At 38.3% G+C, this 12,789-nt stretch overlaps 1 protein-coding gene across 41 annotated transcripts in view; it reads left to right on the top strand.

The window, feature by feature from the left end:
• Positions 1–12,789, top strand: part of SCMH1 (Scm polycomb group protein homolog 1) — a 215,105-nt gene that overhangs the window by 47,788 nt on the left and 154,528 nt on the right. For 31 of the 41 annotated variants that reach the window (NR_135092.2, XR_946584.3, XR_007096354.1 and 28 more), the window contains one exon: positions 8,269–8,398. The exons of 3 other annotated variants lie outside the window; for them this stretch is intronic. Coding sequence is in view for 12 of the 38 variants with exons in the window: in XM_047449591.1 (XP_047305547.1) it covers positions 8,386–8,398 (13 nt within the window). In the remaining 26 variants the exon portion in view is untranslated. Of the gene's footprint in view, positions 1–119; positions 197–1,618; positions 1,745–8,268; positions 8,399–12,789 lie in introns of those variants that run through there. 7 more of the 41 variants (XM_047449589.1, XM_047449568.1, XM_047449564.1 and 4 more) reach the window with 3 other exon arrangements.

The raw sequence follows: 12,789 nt of genomic DNA, 5'->3' as shown, positions 1-12,789 counted from the left end.
AGAAGCCCTGTCTGGATAACCAGCCTTCTGGCTTCCTCTGATGAAATCTAATTTCACTGCATATCTTCTTTGATCTACAGTAGTTCATATTTCTATTTTTTTCTATCTTTCGCTTTTAGATTTCTACATCGTACTAAGGAAGAATGATTTCCTATTTGATATAGCTGAACCATGCAAAAATCAGATCCTTGAAAAGGTCAGAACCTGTATTTATACATAGTAGAAATAGAGAGTTATCCTCTATTAGGCTGTGTATGAATATATGTGTCACAAAAAACAGAGCAAATGAAAAAACTTCCCCTTTCTTGACATTTTATTCTGCAGTTTTTACAAATTATGTGTGCCTTTATAATGTGCAAACTACACTACTTAAAAGTATGTGTAGAGTACTGTTATTAATCCTGTTTTATAGAAACAATAATGGGCTAAGAGACTTATTCAAAATCCTGTAACTAATAGCTGTAAGATAAAGCCCAGATCTTTTGCCTCTAAGTCTTAACCTTTCCACTACATTGTAAGTTCGTAATTAGTATCAGAATTTAGTAGACATGTAGTATGCAAGCTGTATGAACATTGGAAATAATGTATATAAAAGTCTATGAAAAAGTGTTAAAACCCCTTTATGGATGTTAAGTATCATAAATAATTCAGATCTTGACCTTCAATAGCTAACATATAATCTTGGGATGATACCAGAGTCCTCAATATATAATATACCATTGGCTTAGTATAGCAAGCAAAATTCTTTACAAGGTGCCTCATTTCTACTTTTCTAGCCTCAGCTCATTCAGTTTCTGTCATCTGTCCCTGTAGCTTACTTTGTCCCTTTTCATCTGTAATAAATGGCTAGCATTGTCCAAACACATTGTCCCTTTCCATTTCTATGTTCAATTCCACATAATTAGGAAGAATGCCTGAAATGCCTATTTGTCTTTCTTCGGATAATCCTAGCTCAACTTCATCTCCTCCATGAAGCTTTCCTCAACCCCCCCCCAACCCCTGGCAAAGTTAATCATTCCCTTCTGTTTTCCCAGAGCACTTTTTATAGCAAATCTCTGTATAGCAAAAATCACACGATGATTGTATATTTGAATTGCTATCTTTCCTACTAATCTGTGAGTTCTTTGTGAGCATGAACAGGGACTTACACTTATTTGTCTTTGTGTCTTTAACATGTTACTACTAGGCTTAGATTTTGTTACTCAGCTCAGATGTATTTTGTTTAATGAATAAAATAAGAGCTACAGTTCTTTCCTTATAAGGATCTGTATGTACAGTATTCTAAGTGGGAGACTGACCACACAAAAATACCTAAAAACACATAGATATATGTAAAACGATATAGTGTATGCTTGAGGTAAAATAATGGAATGATCAGAGCCAGGTTGAGTTATTTAGGGAAGGATTCCTCTAGGTTAGTAGTTGGCAATCTATGGCCCACAGGCCAAATCTATCTGCCACCAGTTTTTTGTAAATAAAGTTTTACTGGAACATAGCCATGTTCATTTGTTAGTGTATTATATGTCTGCCTTAATGCTATGATAACAGAGTTGAGCAGTTGCAACAGAGACCATATGTCCTGTAAAACTGAAAATATTTGCCATCTGGCCCTTTACAGAAAAAGTTTGCCAACCCCTGCTCTAGGAGTGGGCTTTGGATATGAAAAGAAGAGGAATGTGAATTGGTGAAGCATAAGTGTGCATCATAATGCAATGAAAACAAGCCATAGTAGTAGGTATGCTAGGTAAGAAAGCTCCACTCCAATTCAGTTTGTCAGAGAGACCTATGCTGAAGAGATTAAATGTCAAGAATGTTTGGATTGAGAAAGAGGGAACACAAATCTAATGGAAAGAAATTTTGAAGTAAACACTCCGGGCCTGCAGCAAAATAGTTTCCTAAATAGTAGCAAAGGATGATGATGAAGGAAAAGGAAGCAGCAACATAAATTAACATTGACTGAGTGTTTACTATGTGCCAGGTACTGTTCTAAGTGGTGTGTGTGTGTGTGTGTGTGTGTGTGTGTCTCCTATTTAATCCTCTCAACAACTAAATGAGATAATTGCTATTATTGTCTTTATTTTGCTGCGGAGGAAACTCAGGCACAGGAGGCTAAGTTAACTTGGTCAAGTTAATACAACTGGTAAGTGATAGAACCAAGTCTGAACCCAGGCTGTCAGTCTGCAGAGTCTTCATAATAGAGAAGGGGAAATCTGGAGATATTTGGTAAAAATACTTTTAAGCTTGGAGTAAGGTACTTAGTCCAAGTAATTGGGAAATGTACTATCCCAACATGGTAAAGAGAAAATGAACAGACAATAAAAGAGTAATGATGGAAGGCAGGGTTTCCAATTAGAAGAGTATACTATGGATTAGGCAGAATGGGCAGGGCAAGGAAGCAGATACTTAAGACATGTTATATAGTCATACAGTAAGATACATTATATAGTCAGTCATTGCGTTTAACCTTGATGAGACCAGAAAGCAATTAACTTTTCCTTGCACACATGAAAGCTGTCCTAAAATACTTGAAGAGCTGGTATATCCAATTGAGATATAGATTAGCAGTGACTTTCAAGGAGGTAAGGGGCATTCAACCTTCCCACAAAAATATACACACCTTAGTATCCCAAGTGTATTATAATTGGTGGAGGTGTCAAGTCATAGCACACACCATTCTCTCTCATTCTGTCTCCCTAAGAGGACTGGTTCCTGTCCAACCCTGTATGATTGCTATGGTAAATATTTACCCCTTTGGACAATTTTTTTAAAAAAATACATATATATTGTATGCATGTTAAAGTAATACATATGCACTATGAAAATTTTGCCAATAGAAGTATACCAAATGCAAACATTGGCTAGAGATGGTAGGATTGGAGATGGAAGGAGGAGGAGACATTAAACTAAATGACTTTCAACATTTCTTCCAAATCTGTAGTTCTATGTTTATACCAGCAGAGTGGTAAGCACAAAGGAAAAGACCACAATGTGACTTTGACATGGTTGGCTTGAATAGAGGATAAAATGGTATAGGAGAAAATCCAATATATGAAATCTAAATTTATAGAGCAGATTACTTTGCAGTGAACCTTGGACTTATTTTTATAAAGATTACTTTTAACTAGCCATTTTGATATGTTCAAATATACTTAATTTTAATAAAAAATTTCATTTACACTTAACTTGTCAGTAGTATATTTACTGTGTAAAATAAAGCAGACACACATTGTTCATTATTTCAAAGAAGGAAGAGATTTCAGCCAAGTTATGTTGTAGTAGCTACAGTGGAAATAATTGAGCTGGGCCTTGCCCATAAACCTGCAATATGATAGAACTTAAAAGGGGACCAGGCATGGTAACTCACACCTGTAATCCCAGAACTTTGGGAGGCCAAGACAGGAGGATTGCTTGAGGCCAGGAGTTCAAGACCAGCCTGGATAACATAGTGAGACCTCGCCTCTACAAAAAATAAAAAAGTTAGCCAGGCGCATTGATGCACACCAGTAATCCTAGCCACTCAGAAGGCTGAGGTGGGAGGATTGCGTGAGTCCAGGAGTTTGAGGCTGCAGTGAACTATGATCATGCCACTGTACTCCAGCCTGAGCAACAGGGTGAGACCCTGTCTCTTAAAAACTAACTAACTTAAAAGATACCTTAGGTATGTAAGGTATGTAAAGTGCCTACCACAGTGCCAGTAAATGGTAGATGGAGACGCAGAAGAGAAAAAAGATGATGGTGGTGATGATGCTGTTGTTATGTCTTCTGTCCCCATATCACACTTCTGTAAGGCTTCAGAAAGAAAGTTGGTATTGTATATATTTGTATACACACATACATACATGCACACACACACTGTCCATGCTACAAAACCTAAACTTGCACAGTGTTGTTTATAAAAACCAGGACTCAGATTTGAAGTCTCAGATTTGGAAGGAACTTTAAAGGTTACCCAGTCCAGCCTCCCTCTTCCTCCTAATGATTTAGTATCTTCACCAATAGGTTATTTTACCTCTGCTTTCACATCCTTAGTGATGGCAAATTCATGCCTCTCCTTCCCAGAGAGCTTATCCCACTTTTGGATACAGAGCTCTGACTGGCAGAAAGTTCTTCCTAATAATATGCTGAAGTCTATCTACCTATAGCTTCCACCCACTGGTTCTAATTCTCTCCCTTGGGGTAATATTGAAGAAGTAGAGCAAATCTCATCTCTCTCCTACATGAAATCCCTCCAGATATTTGCAAACAGCTCTCATGTTTCCCCTGAGTCTTTCCTTCTAGTTAACCTTCCCTAGTTTCTTAAATTCTCACTCTTCTTGTTGCTTTACTTTAAATGAGATTGTGCATTTGTATCTCATTCAAAATATAGGACCTAGAATGAAACATAAAATCCTACTTCTGATATGTTTGGACTGGCAAGAATGGAGCATCCAGGACTGTCATCGTCTTTATTCCAAATATTGACTGGAATAATGATGATGCTGATGCATTGCTTATTTAATGACATCAGATCCATATATGTCTGCTAGGAACTATGAAGTGGCACTATAGGAACCACTGAACTTCTTCTCTGTTCAAGAAGCATGAGCCAGAAGCATTCCAAAAAGCATTAGCTTCTCTTACGCTCTGCCTCACACCTCTGCAAGTTTCTGGAAAGGGTAAACATTATACATAGTTAAAGAATACTAGGACTGCCTGTAGGACAAAGGAAGTCATGGCATTTTCATTAGCCACTTATTGCTAGCTGCATTACTTGTTAAAGGAAATACTGGTGTTCTCATGGGTTCTTTTCTGTGCATACACAAAGATGTATAGTTGCTACAAAGCAAGTGGAGCAGGGGGACACCAAAGAGATATGCTCCATCTTCTTTGTTCACCTCTGCTACATGGAGGAGATAGGATTTATTGCTTTCTTTGAGAAAGAGATTGGCCAGTTTCCTTCCTCCCCCTTCTTCTGGTGGATCATTCCAGAAGAATATTGCATCTCATCATAGTTATCTCCTAATAAAGTAAAAGTAAATGAAGGAGAGCTGGAGACAGAGAATCAGCTGAGATGTGCTGGAAATACTCGGCTGGGCGCAGTGGCTCGTGCCTTGTAATCCCATCACTTTGGGAGGCCGAGGCGGGTGGATCACCTGAGGTCAGGAGTTCAAGACCAACCTGGCCAACATGATGAAACCCTGTCTCTACTAAAAATACAAAAAATTAGCCAGGCTTGGTGACAGGCACCTCTCATCCCAGCTACTCAGGAGGCTGAGGCAGGAGAATCGCTGGAACCCGCGAGGCAGAGGTTGCAGTGAGCCAACATCATGCCACTGCACTCCAGCCTGAGCAACCAGAGTGAAACTCCGTCTCAAAACAAAGTAACAACAACAACAAAAAAAACTTGTTAATGAGAGAGTGGCTGATCAGTGGCACATCACAGATGAATCCTCTGTCTCCTGCCTCCCTGTAGCTTGTCCTTCCATCACCACAGTGAGTAGATGTTCTGCTCACAGCTTTTCCATTTTGATTTCTCTGCATATTGGCATAGTATTATGATTTATCTAAAACTGAGAGTTCTGTCTTTTCTTATTGAATTTTCAGAAGTATGTTTGATGCATCTTTTTTCTGTTTTCCAGTTTCCATTTCTAGGGGAAGTATTCTTCTCTTCCTGTTCTTTGAAATACTTAACACAATATCTGGCATGTAGTAAACACTTAAAATGATAATTATATATTAATAATTTGACTTATTACTATACAGGTGATAATTTGTAACTAAGTTTTTAATTGTATCTTAATATATGAAGAATTCTACTTTTCCTTGCTTCAAGGGGTGGCCTGTTGTGATTGTTTTATTACATTTTGAAAGGATACTACCATAGCCTTACAGATTCTTCTACTACCTATTATACTTCTTTCAACGACTTCCAGAAATACGGAGTCATTACATTCTCCAGATCTGCACTATGCAATGAGTAGCCACAACCATGTATGTCTAATTAAATGTAAATTTAATAAAAATTAAATACAATTAAAAATGCACTCAGTTTGCACTAGCTACATTTCAAGTCCTAAATAGCCACATGTGGCTAGTGGCTACCCATTGGACAACAGGAATATTGAACATTTCCATCATTGCATTAAATTTTGAGAGGCTGAGGCTGGCAGATTCTTGAGGTCAGGAGTTCGAGACCAGCCTGGCCAACATGGTGAAACCCCATCTCTACTAAAAATACAAAAATTAGCCAAGCATGGCGGCACATGCCTATAATCCCAGCTACTCTGGAGGCACTGCTTTGGATATTCGTAGTCTATGCTCTTGTGCTCTTTTCTTAGAAATTGAAGAGGATATATTTTCTAGGGTGTTCCTAAGACTAATCTCTTAATGTTTCAGGGCTCTGAACATGCATTTTGAGGATTCACGTTACTGTTCTTATTCCAGCCCCTTAGTGCCATTACTATCTTTTGGAATAAATACAAGAACTTTCACATCCTCCAAGAAGATTATACTACCATAAATTTTATTTTGTTTATTTTTATTTATTTATTTATTTTGAGACAGTGTTTCTGTTGCCCAGGCTGGAGTGCAGTGGTATGACCATAGCTCACTGCAGCCTTGACCTCCTGAGCTCAGGTGATCCTCCTGCCTTAACCTCCCAAGTAGCTGGAACTATAGGTGCACACACCACCACACCTGGCTAATTTTTATATTTTTTTTTTTTTTGTAGAGATGGGGTTTCACCATGTTTCTGAGTCTCAAACTCCTAGAGATGGGGGTCTCACTGTGTTGTCCAGGCTGGTCTCGAACTCTTGAGTTCAGGCGATTCCCCCCTACTTCAGCCTCCTAAAATACTGGGATTACAGGTGGTCCTCCTGCCTTAACCTCTTTACAGGTGTGAGCCACCACACCCAGCCATTAAGCACTTTCAAAGCCATTTTTTCATTTGTTATTTACAGCAGCCCAGTGAAGCAAGTAGCATTGGGATTATTATTCCCATTTTACTAATAAGAAAACTGAGATTCAGTTAAGTTACAGCCTGAAGTCTTTTTGTTTTTTGGGGTTTTTTTTTTTTTTTTTGACCAAGTCTCACTCTGTCGCCTAGGTTGGAGTGCAGTGGCATGATCTCAGCTCACTGCAACCTCCGCCTCCTGGGTTCAAGTGATTCTGATGCCTCAGCCTCTCGAGTAGCCGGGATTACAAGCATGTGCCACCATGCTTGGCTAATTTTTGTATTTTTAGTAGAGATGGGGTTTCGCCATGTTGGCCAGGCTGGTCTCGAACTCCTGACCTCAAGCATCCGTCAGCCTCAGCCTTTCAAAGTGCTGGGACTACAGACGTGAGCCACCGTGTCTGGCCATGTTACCTGCCTAACGTCTTAAAGGGAAAATAAACATTAAGGCAAAATAGAGGAGATTCAGATCAGGGTAAAATTTTAACGTCAAATTCAGCATTTTTTGTTTTGTTTTTACTTTGTTTTTGTTCTACTTTACTCCCACTCCGACTGTAATAAAAGAGTGAAAGTTCTTTAGGGGAACTGAGGTACTCCCAAAGAATTGCTACAGTCCCATTTGTCCTGTGATCATGTGCTTGGGGTGCCATAACAGAATACCACAGACTGAGTGGCTTAAACAATAGAAATTTATATCCTCAAAGTTCTGGGGGCTGGAAGTTCAGTGTCAGGATGCTAGCGGCAGAGGCTAGAGATGAGGTCTTTCTCCTTAGCTTATAGATGACACCTTCTCTCTGAGTCCTCATGTAGCATTTTTCTCTATGTGAGAGAAAGAGATATCTCTCATGTCTCATCCTTTTGTTTTAAAGAAACCAATTATATCAGATTAGGGTCTCACCTGTATGACTTTATTTAACCTTAATTACCTCCTTAAATGCCCTGTCTCCAAATGTAGTCACATTGGGGGTTAGGGCTTTAACGTATGAATTTGGGGGAGACACAGTTCAGCCCATAACACCATGTTAATGGGTTTTTAGTGTCTTTTGATATTCTGGCTTAACCTGGTTAGCTGGAAACTAAATTTAGTATTTGAATGGGACCAAATGTAGCAAATATCTGTATTCTTTATTTCTGTGAATATAGAGGCTTAATTAAATTCAACCTGTGGTACTTGCTGTAAGGTACTTTGCAACTCCAAGATATTCTAATAGCAAAAAATCTGTATCTAAATTTCCTACTTTTCTTATAATGTAGCCTAATTGTTAATAATTAGAGATCTCAGTACTTTACAGGTAATAAATGTTCTTCTCCTTCCTCCCCACCTACCTTTTTTACAGATGGAGAAATTAGCATACAAAGAAACTGACTTGTCAGAAGTCAGAGCAAGGTATTGGTGGATCCAGGGATAAATCCCAAACTTCTTAACCCCTAGACCGGTTTTTAGTCCATTGACTATGCAGCCTAATGGTAAGTATCTTTTTACCCTATCGTGGAGGTAAGAGGGATTAAGAGACCTAGCAAGGACTGGCTTTAAGGAATTCCTCACGAATAATTAGACTACTCGTTATCCTTTTCTTTATAGCCATGATGTCATTTTTGTCATTGGCATGAATTTTCCAGATTGGGAGAGGAGGTCTGAAGTTTTGCTTTTTAAATACTTAAAAATATTTCTCGGTGGCTCATGCCTGTAATTCCAACACTCTGGGAAGCCAAGGTGGGCGGATCACCTGAAGTCAGGAGTTCGAGACCAACATGGAGAAACCCCATTTCTACTAAAAATACAAAACTGGTGGGCATGGTGGCGCATGCCTGTAATCCCAGCTACTTGGGAGGCTGAGACAGGAGAATTGCTTGAACCCGGGAGGCGGAGGTTGCTGTAAGCCGAGATCTCACCATTGCACTCCAGCCTGGGCAACAAGAGCAAAACTCCATCTCAAAAAAAAAAAAAAAATCTGTAACAATTTGGCTACATGAGAAATAATTATTGAGAAAGGAAACTATTATTTAATGAATTTGTCCACTGTGTCCAGCAGAAATACAATGCAAGCCACTTATGTAGTTTAAAGTTTTGTAGTAGCCACATTTAGAAAGGTAAAAAGAAGAAGGGGCATGGGAGCTCACACCTGTAATCCCGGCATTTGGGGAGGCTAAAGTGGGCCAATTGCTTGAGCCCAGGAATTGGAGACCAGCCTGGGCAACATGGCAAAACCCCATCTCTACAAAGAATACGGAAGAGTAGCCAGTCGTGGTGGTGTGAGCCTGTAGTTCCAGCTACTAGGGAGGTTATAACACTTTATCACACTTATGTAACTCTCTGTCTTCTAGACTAAGAGAGGGTGCCTTGTTGTTTTTTTTAATCCTTATTACCTAGCACAGGGCTGGAACTTAGGTAGTCAATGAATTTTTCGTTTGAAGCATGAATAAATGCAGTTTCAGTATGGAAATATCAAAGATTTTAAGAGTGTTATTTTGAAAATAGTAAGTTGGAAATGGAATTTAAATGTCAAATTGAACAAGATTTAAGAGGAAGCTACTCTCTTTAAACCCATAATATTGCATTCATTGATTCATTGTATTGACCTAGATATGTGAGATAGTAAGGAGAATAAGACATAATCTTTACTGACAAATAGTTCATAATTAAGATATACATGTGATCAAACACAAATACACACATAAGATATAGATAGTTGCTACTATAATATCTCAGCTCCCATAATATTGTTTGATGCTTAGTGAAAGAATTTCAAGGCTGAATAGGGTCTTAGAAGTTTATCTAGTTATCTCCCTTTACAACCTGTGAATTTTCTCTCAGCTTGGAAAAGTTTCAGCATCTTTGGTGAAAAGTGGTCATTCAGCCTTTCTGCTTGTACATTTTAGTGTATAACCAATCCTCCACAGGACAATTCTCATTGCCAGAAAGTCTCTCTCTGACATCTGCTTCCCTGTAGTGAATGCTTTGTCGAATGCCTCCAATCAAAAGACTACATTTTGTGAAATCCCTGCTGAGCATTCCAGTAGCATGTAAGCTAGAACAGGGGTCTTTTATCTGATTTGTTTAGTGATATATCTCCAGTGCCTAGAATAATGACTGACAAACAGTGGTAATAAATATTTGTTGAATGAATGAATCTAAACATAAGCAGGATTTAGAGCATTATTTCAATTCAGTTTTTTAATTGTCAGATTTACTCCCTTTGTGGACTATTACATATCTTTCATTGCTGTTTCCTGATCAGTTCTTTGCCTGTATGGCATAGTTTAACTTATTGAGCCCTACATTCTTCATTTGTAAAAAGTTATTAATAATACCTGAGATGGAATATATGAAAATGCCTGGCACTCGGCCTGGTATATATAGTAATGGTAAGTATTAGTTGAATCTGAAATGGAATCAGTGCAGCAACCTCTGAGCCTCCCCTGACCCTGACATCCCAGGAATGCAAGTTTATTTTTTAAAATTAATTAATTTCAAGAAGTATACATAACACAGAATTTACCATTTTAATAATATTTTAGTGTACAGTTCAGTGACACTAAAGACATTCACATTGTTGTGCACCCATCACCACCATCAATCTCTAGAACTTTTTTCATCTTGCAGAACTGAAACTGTACCCATTAAAAATGGTAAGTTCATTTTTAATGTTAGCTTAGGTAAAGCATGACTGAACTGGTAAATCTGTAGTAGAAAAAATAATACATTCTAAAACTAAATATAAATGACATATTATCTGCAGTTTTAAATGATCTGTTTTCAGTTATTGTTTATTAATATGAATAATTGATATCTTACCATGTGACTTCTAGGTATCATTCTCTATGTCACAGTTGTTTTGATGAATGTGCATTGAAATACTGACTTTTTAATATGGGTAATTTTTCTCTCATTGCATAACTTTCTGCATTTAGTAAAAAGACAACTTTTTTTTTTCTTTTGACTGCTTGCTGTGTGCCAAACTCTAGGAATACTGATTGGCTTAAGATTATTTAGCTCTGACACTGACAGGCATAAATGTAGGAGGTGGCACTACTACTTTGCTTAGGGCTGTCACCAGAAAGCTGTTACAAAATAATATTTGTCCTGGACTGTGAGGAATAAATAGGAATTTCCCAAATAGAGAAAAGGGGAAGGTCCAGAGGTATGAAAGAGTATGAGTTTGGATGCAGTTTACAGTTGTATGAGCTTGGAAAGAGTATATGTTTGGATACAGTTTAGGGATTGATCCTTGAAGAGTTTTAAATGGGGTAGTGACATGTTTTATCTTATTTGTATTTTAGAAAAATAATGCTGATGTATGATTGGAAGGCAGTGAGAACAAAGGAATTAAATAACTGTTTTTATTGGTCAACGTGAGAGATAATGAAATCCTAAACTCTGAATGGGGCAGGGGAGATTAAAGAGAGATGGTTATTTTAGAGATACAACTGACGGAATTGGATAACCAGTTGGATTTGGAGGACAAGAGGGATTACAGGTTTCTGATTTGTTATGTTAACTGGAATAGGGACTGCCAGAGAAGAAAGATATAAACTGATTATTAAATAGTACCTATGTATTATAATATACTCTGAAACATGGCCATTATTCTTAGAACACTTTGAAAAAATGATAGGTGACTAGCTCCTTTTTTAATGTGTAGAATTCTATCAGATGCTGTATTCTCTTTATTTTGGGACAGTTGCCTGATTCAGGGACAGTTACCTGATTCACTGAGTAGTTTATGGCAGTACTTAAAAATTACACATTTTGTAATGCATTTGTTTCTTTTTCTTTAGTGCTGCTTTCCATGTTTCAGTAGTTTGTACCAAGAGTCTATTTCTTCCTAGAAGTTCCTTTTTCATTGTTTTTTTTGTTTTTGTCTTTTTTTGTTTTTAAGACAGAGTCTTGCTCTGTTCCCCAGGCTGGAGTGCAATGACGTAATCCTGGCTCACTGCAGCTTGGACTTCCTGGGCTCAAGCAATCCTCCCATCGCAGCCCCTTGAGTAGCTGAAATCACAGGTTCCACACCTAGCTAATTTTTTAATTTTTTTGTAGAGACGAGGTCTCACTGTGTTGCTGAGACTGTTCTCGAACTCCTGGGCTCAATGAATCTTCCTGCCTTGGCCTCCCAAAGTACTGGGATAACAGGCATGGGCCACCGAACTTTTTGAACTATTTGATGCCTTTCTGCCCTTAACTGTTATTTTGTTCATTTTGCTGCATAATTGAGTATGGATTTTGTTTTCTTTTTTATTATTATACTTTAAGTTTTAGGGTGTATGTGCACAACGTGCAGGTTAGTTACATATGTATACATGTGCCATGTTGGTGTGCTGCACCCATTAACTCGTCATTCAACATTAGGTATATCTCCTAATGCTATCCCTCCCCTCTCCCCGCATCCCACAACAGGCCCCGGTGTGTGATGTTCCCCTTCCTGTGTCCATGTGTTCTCATTGTTCAATTCCCACCTATGAGTGAGAACATGCGGTGTTTGGTTTTTTGTCCTTGCGATAGTTTGTTGAGGATGATGGTTTCCAGCTTCATCCATGTCCCTACAAAGGACATGAACTCATCATTTTTTATGACTGCATAGTATTCCATGGTGTATATGTGCCACATTTTCTTAATCCAGTCTATCATTGATGGACATTTGGGTTGGTTCCAAGTCTTTGCTATTGTGAATAGTGCCGCAATAAACATACGTGTGCATGTGTCTTTATAGCAGCATGATTTATAATCCTTTGGGTATATGCCCAGTAATGGGATTGCTGGGTCAAATGGTATTTCTAGTTCTAGATCCCTGAGGAATCGCCACACTGACTTCCACAAGGGTTGAACTAGTTTACAGTCCCACCAACAGTGTAAAAGTGTT

Source organism: Homo sapiens, chromosome 1 (assembly GCF_000001405.40).
Source record: "Homo sapiens chromosome 1, GRCh38.p14 Primary Assembly".
NCBI classification, from domain to species: Eukaryota; Metazoa; Chordata; class Mammalia; order Primates; family Hominidae; genus Homo; species Homo sapiens.
The sequence above is the reverse complement of the archived record's forward strand: the minus strand, read 5'-3'. Positions and strand labels throughout refer to the sequence as shown.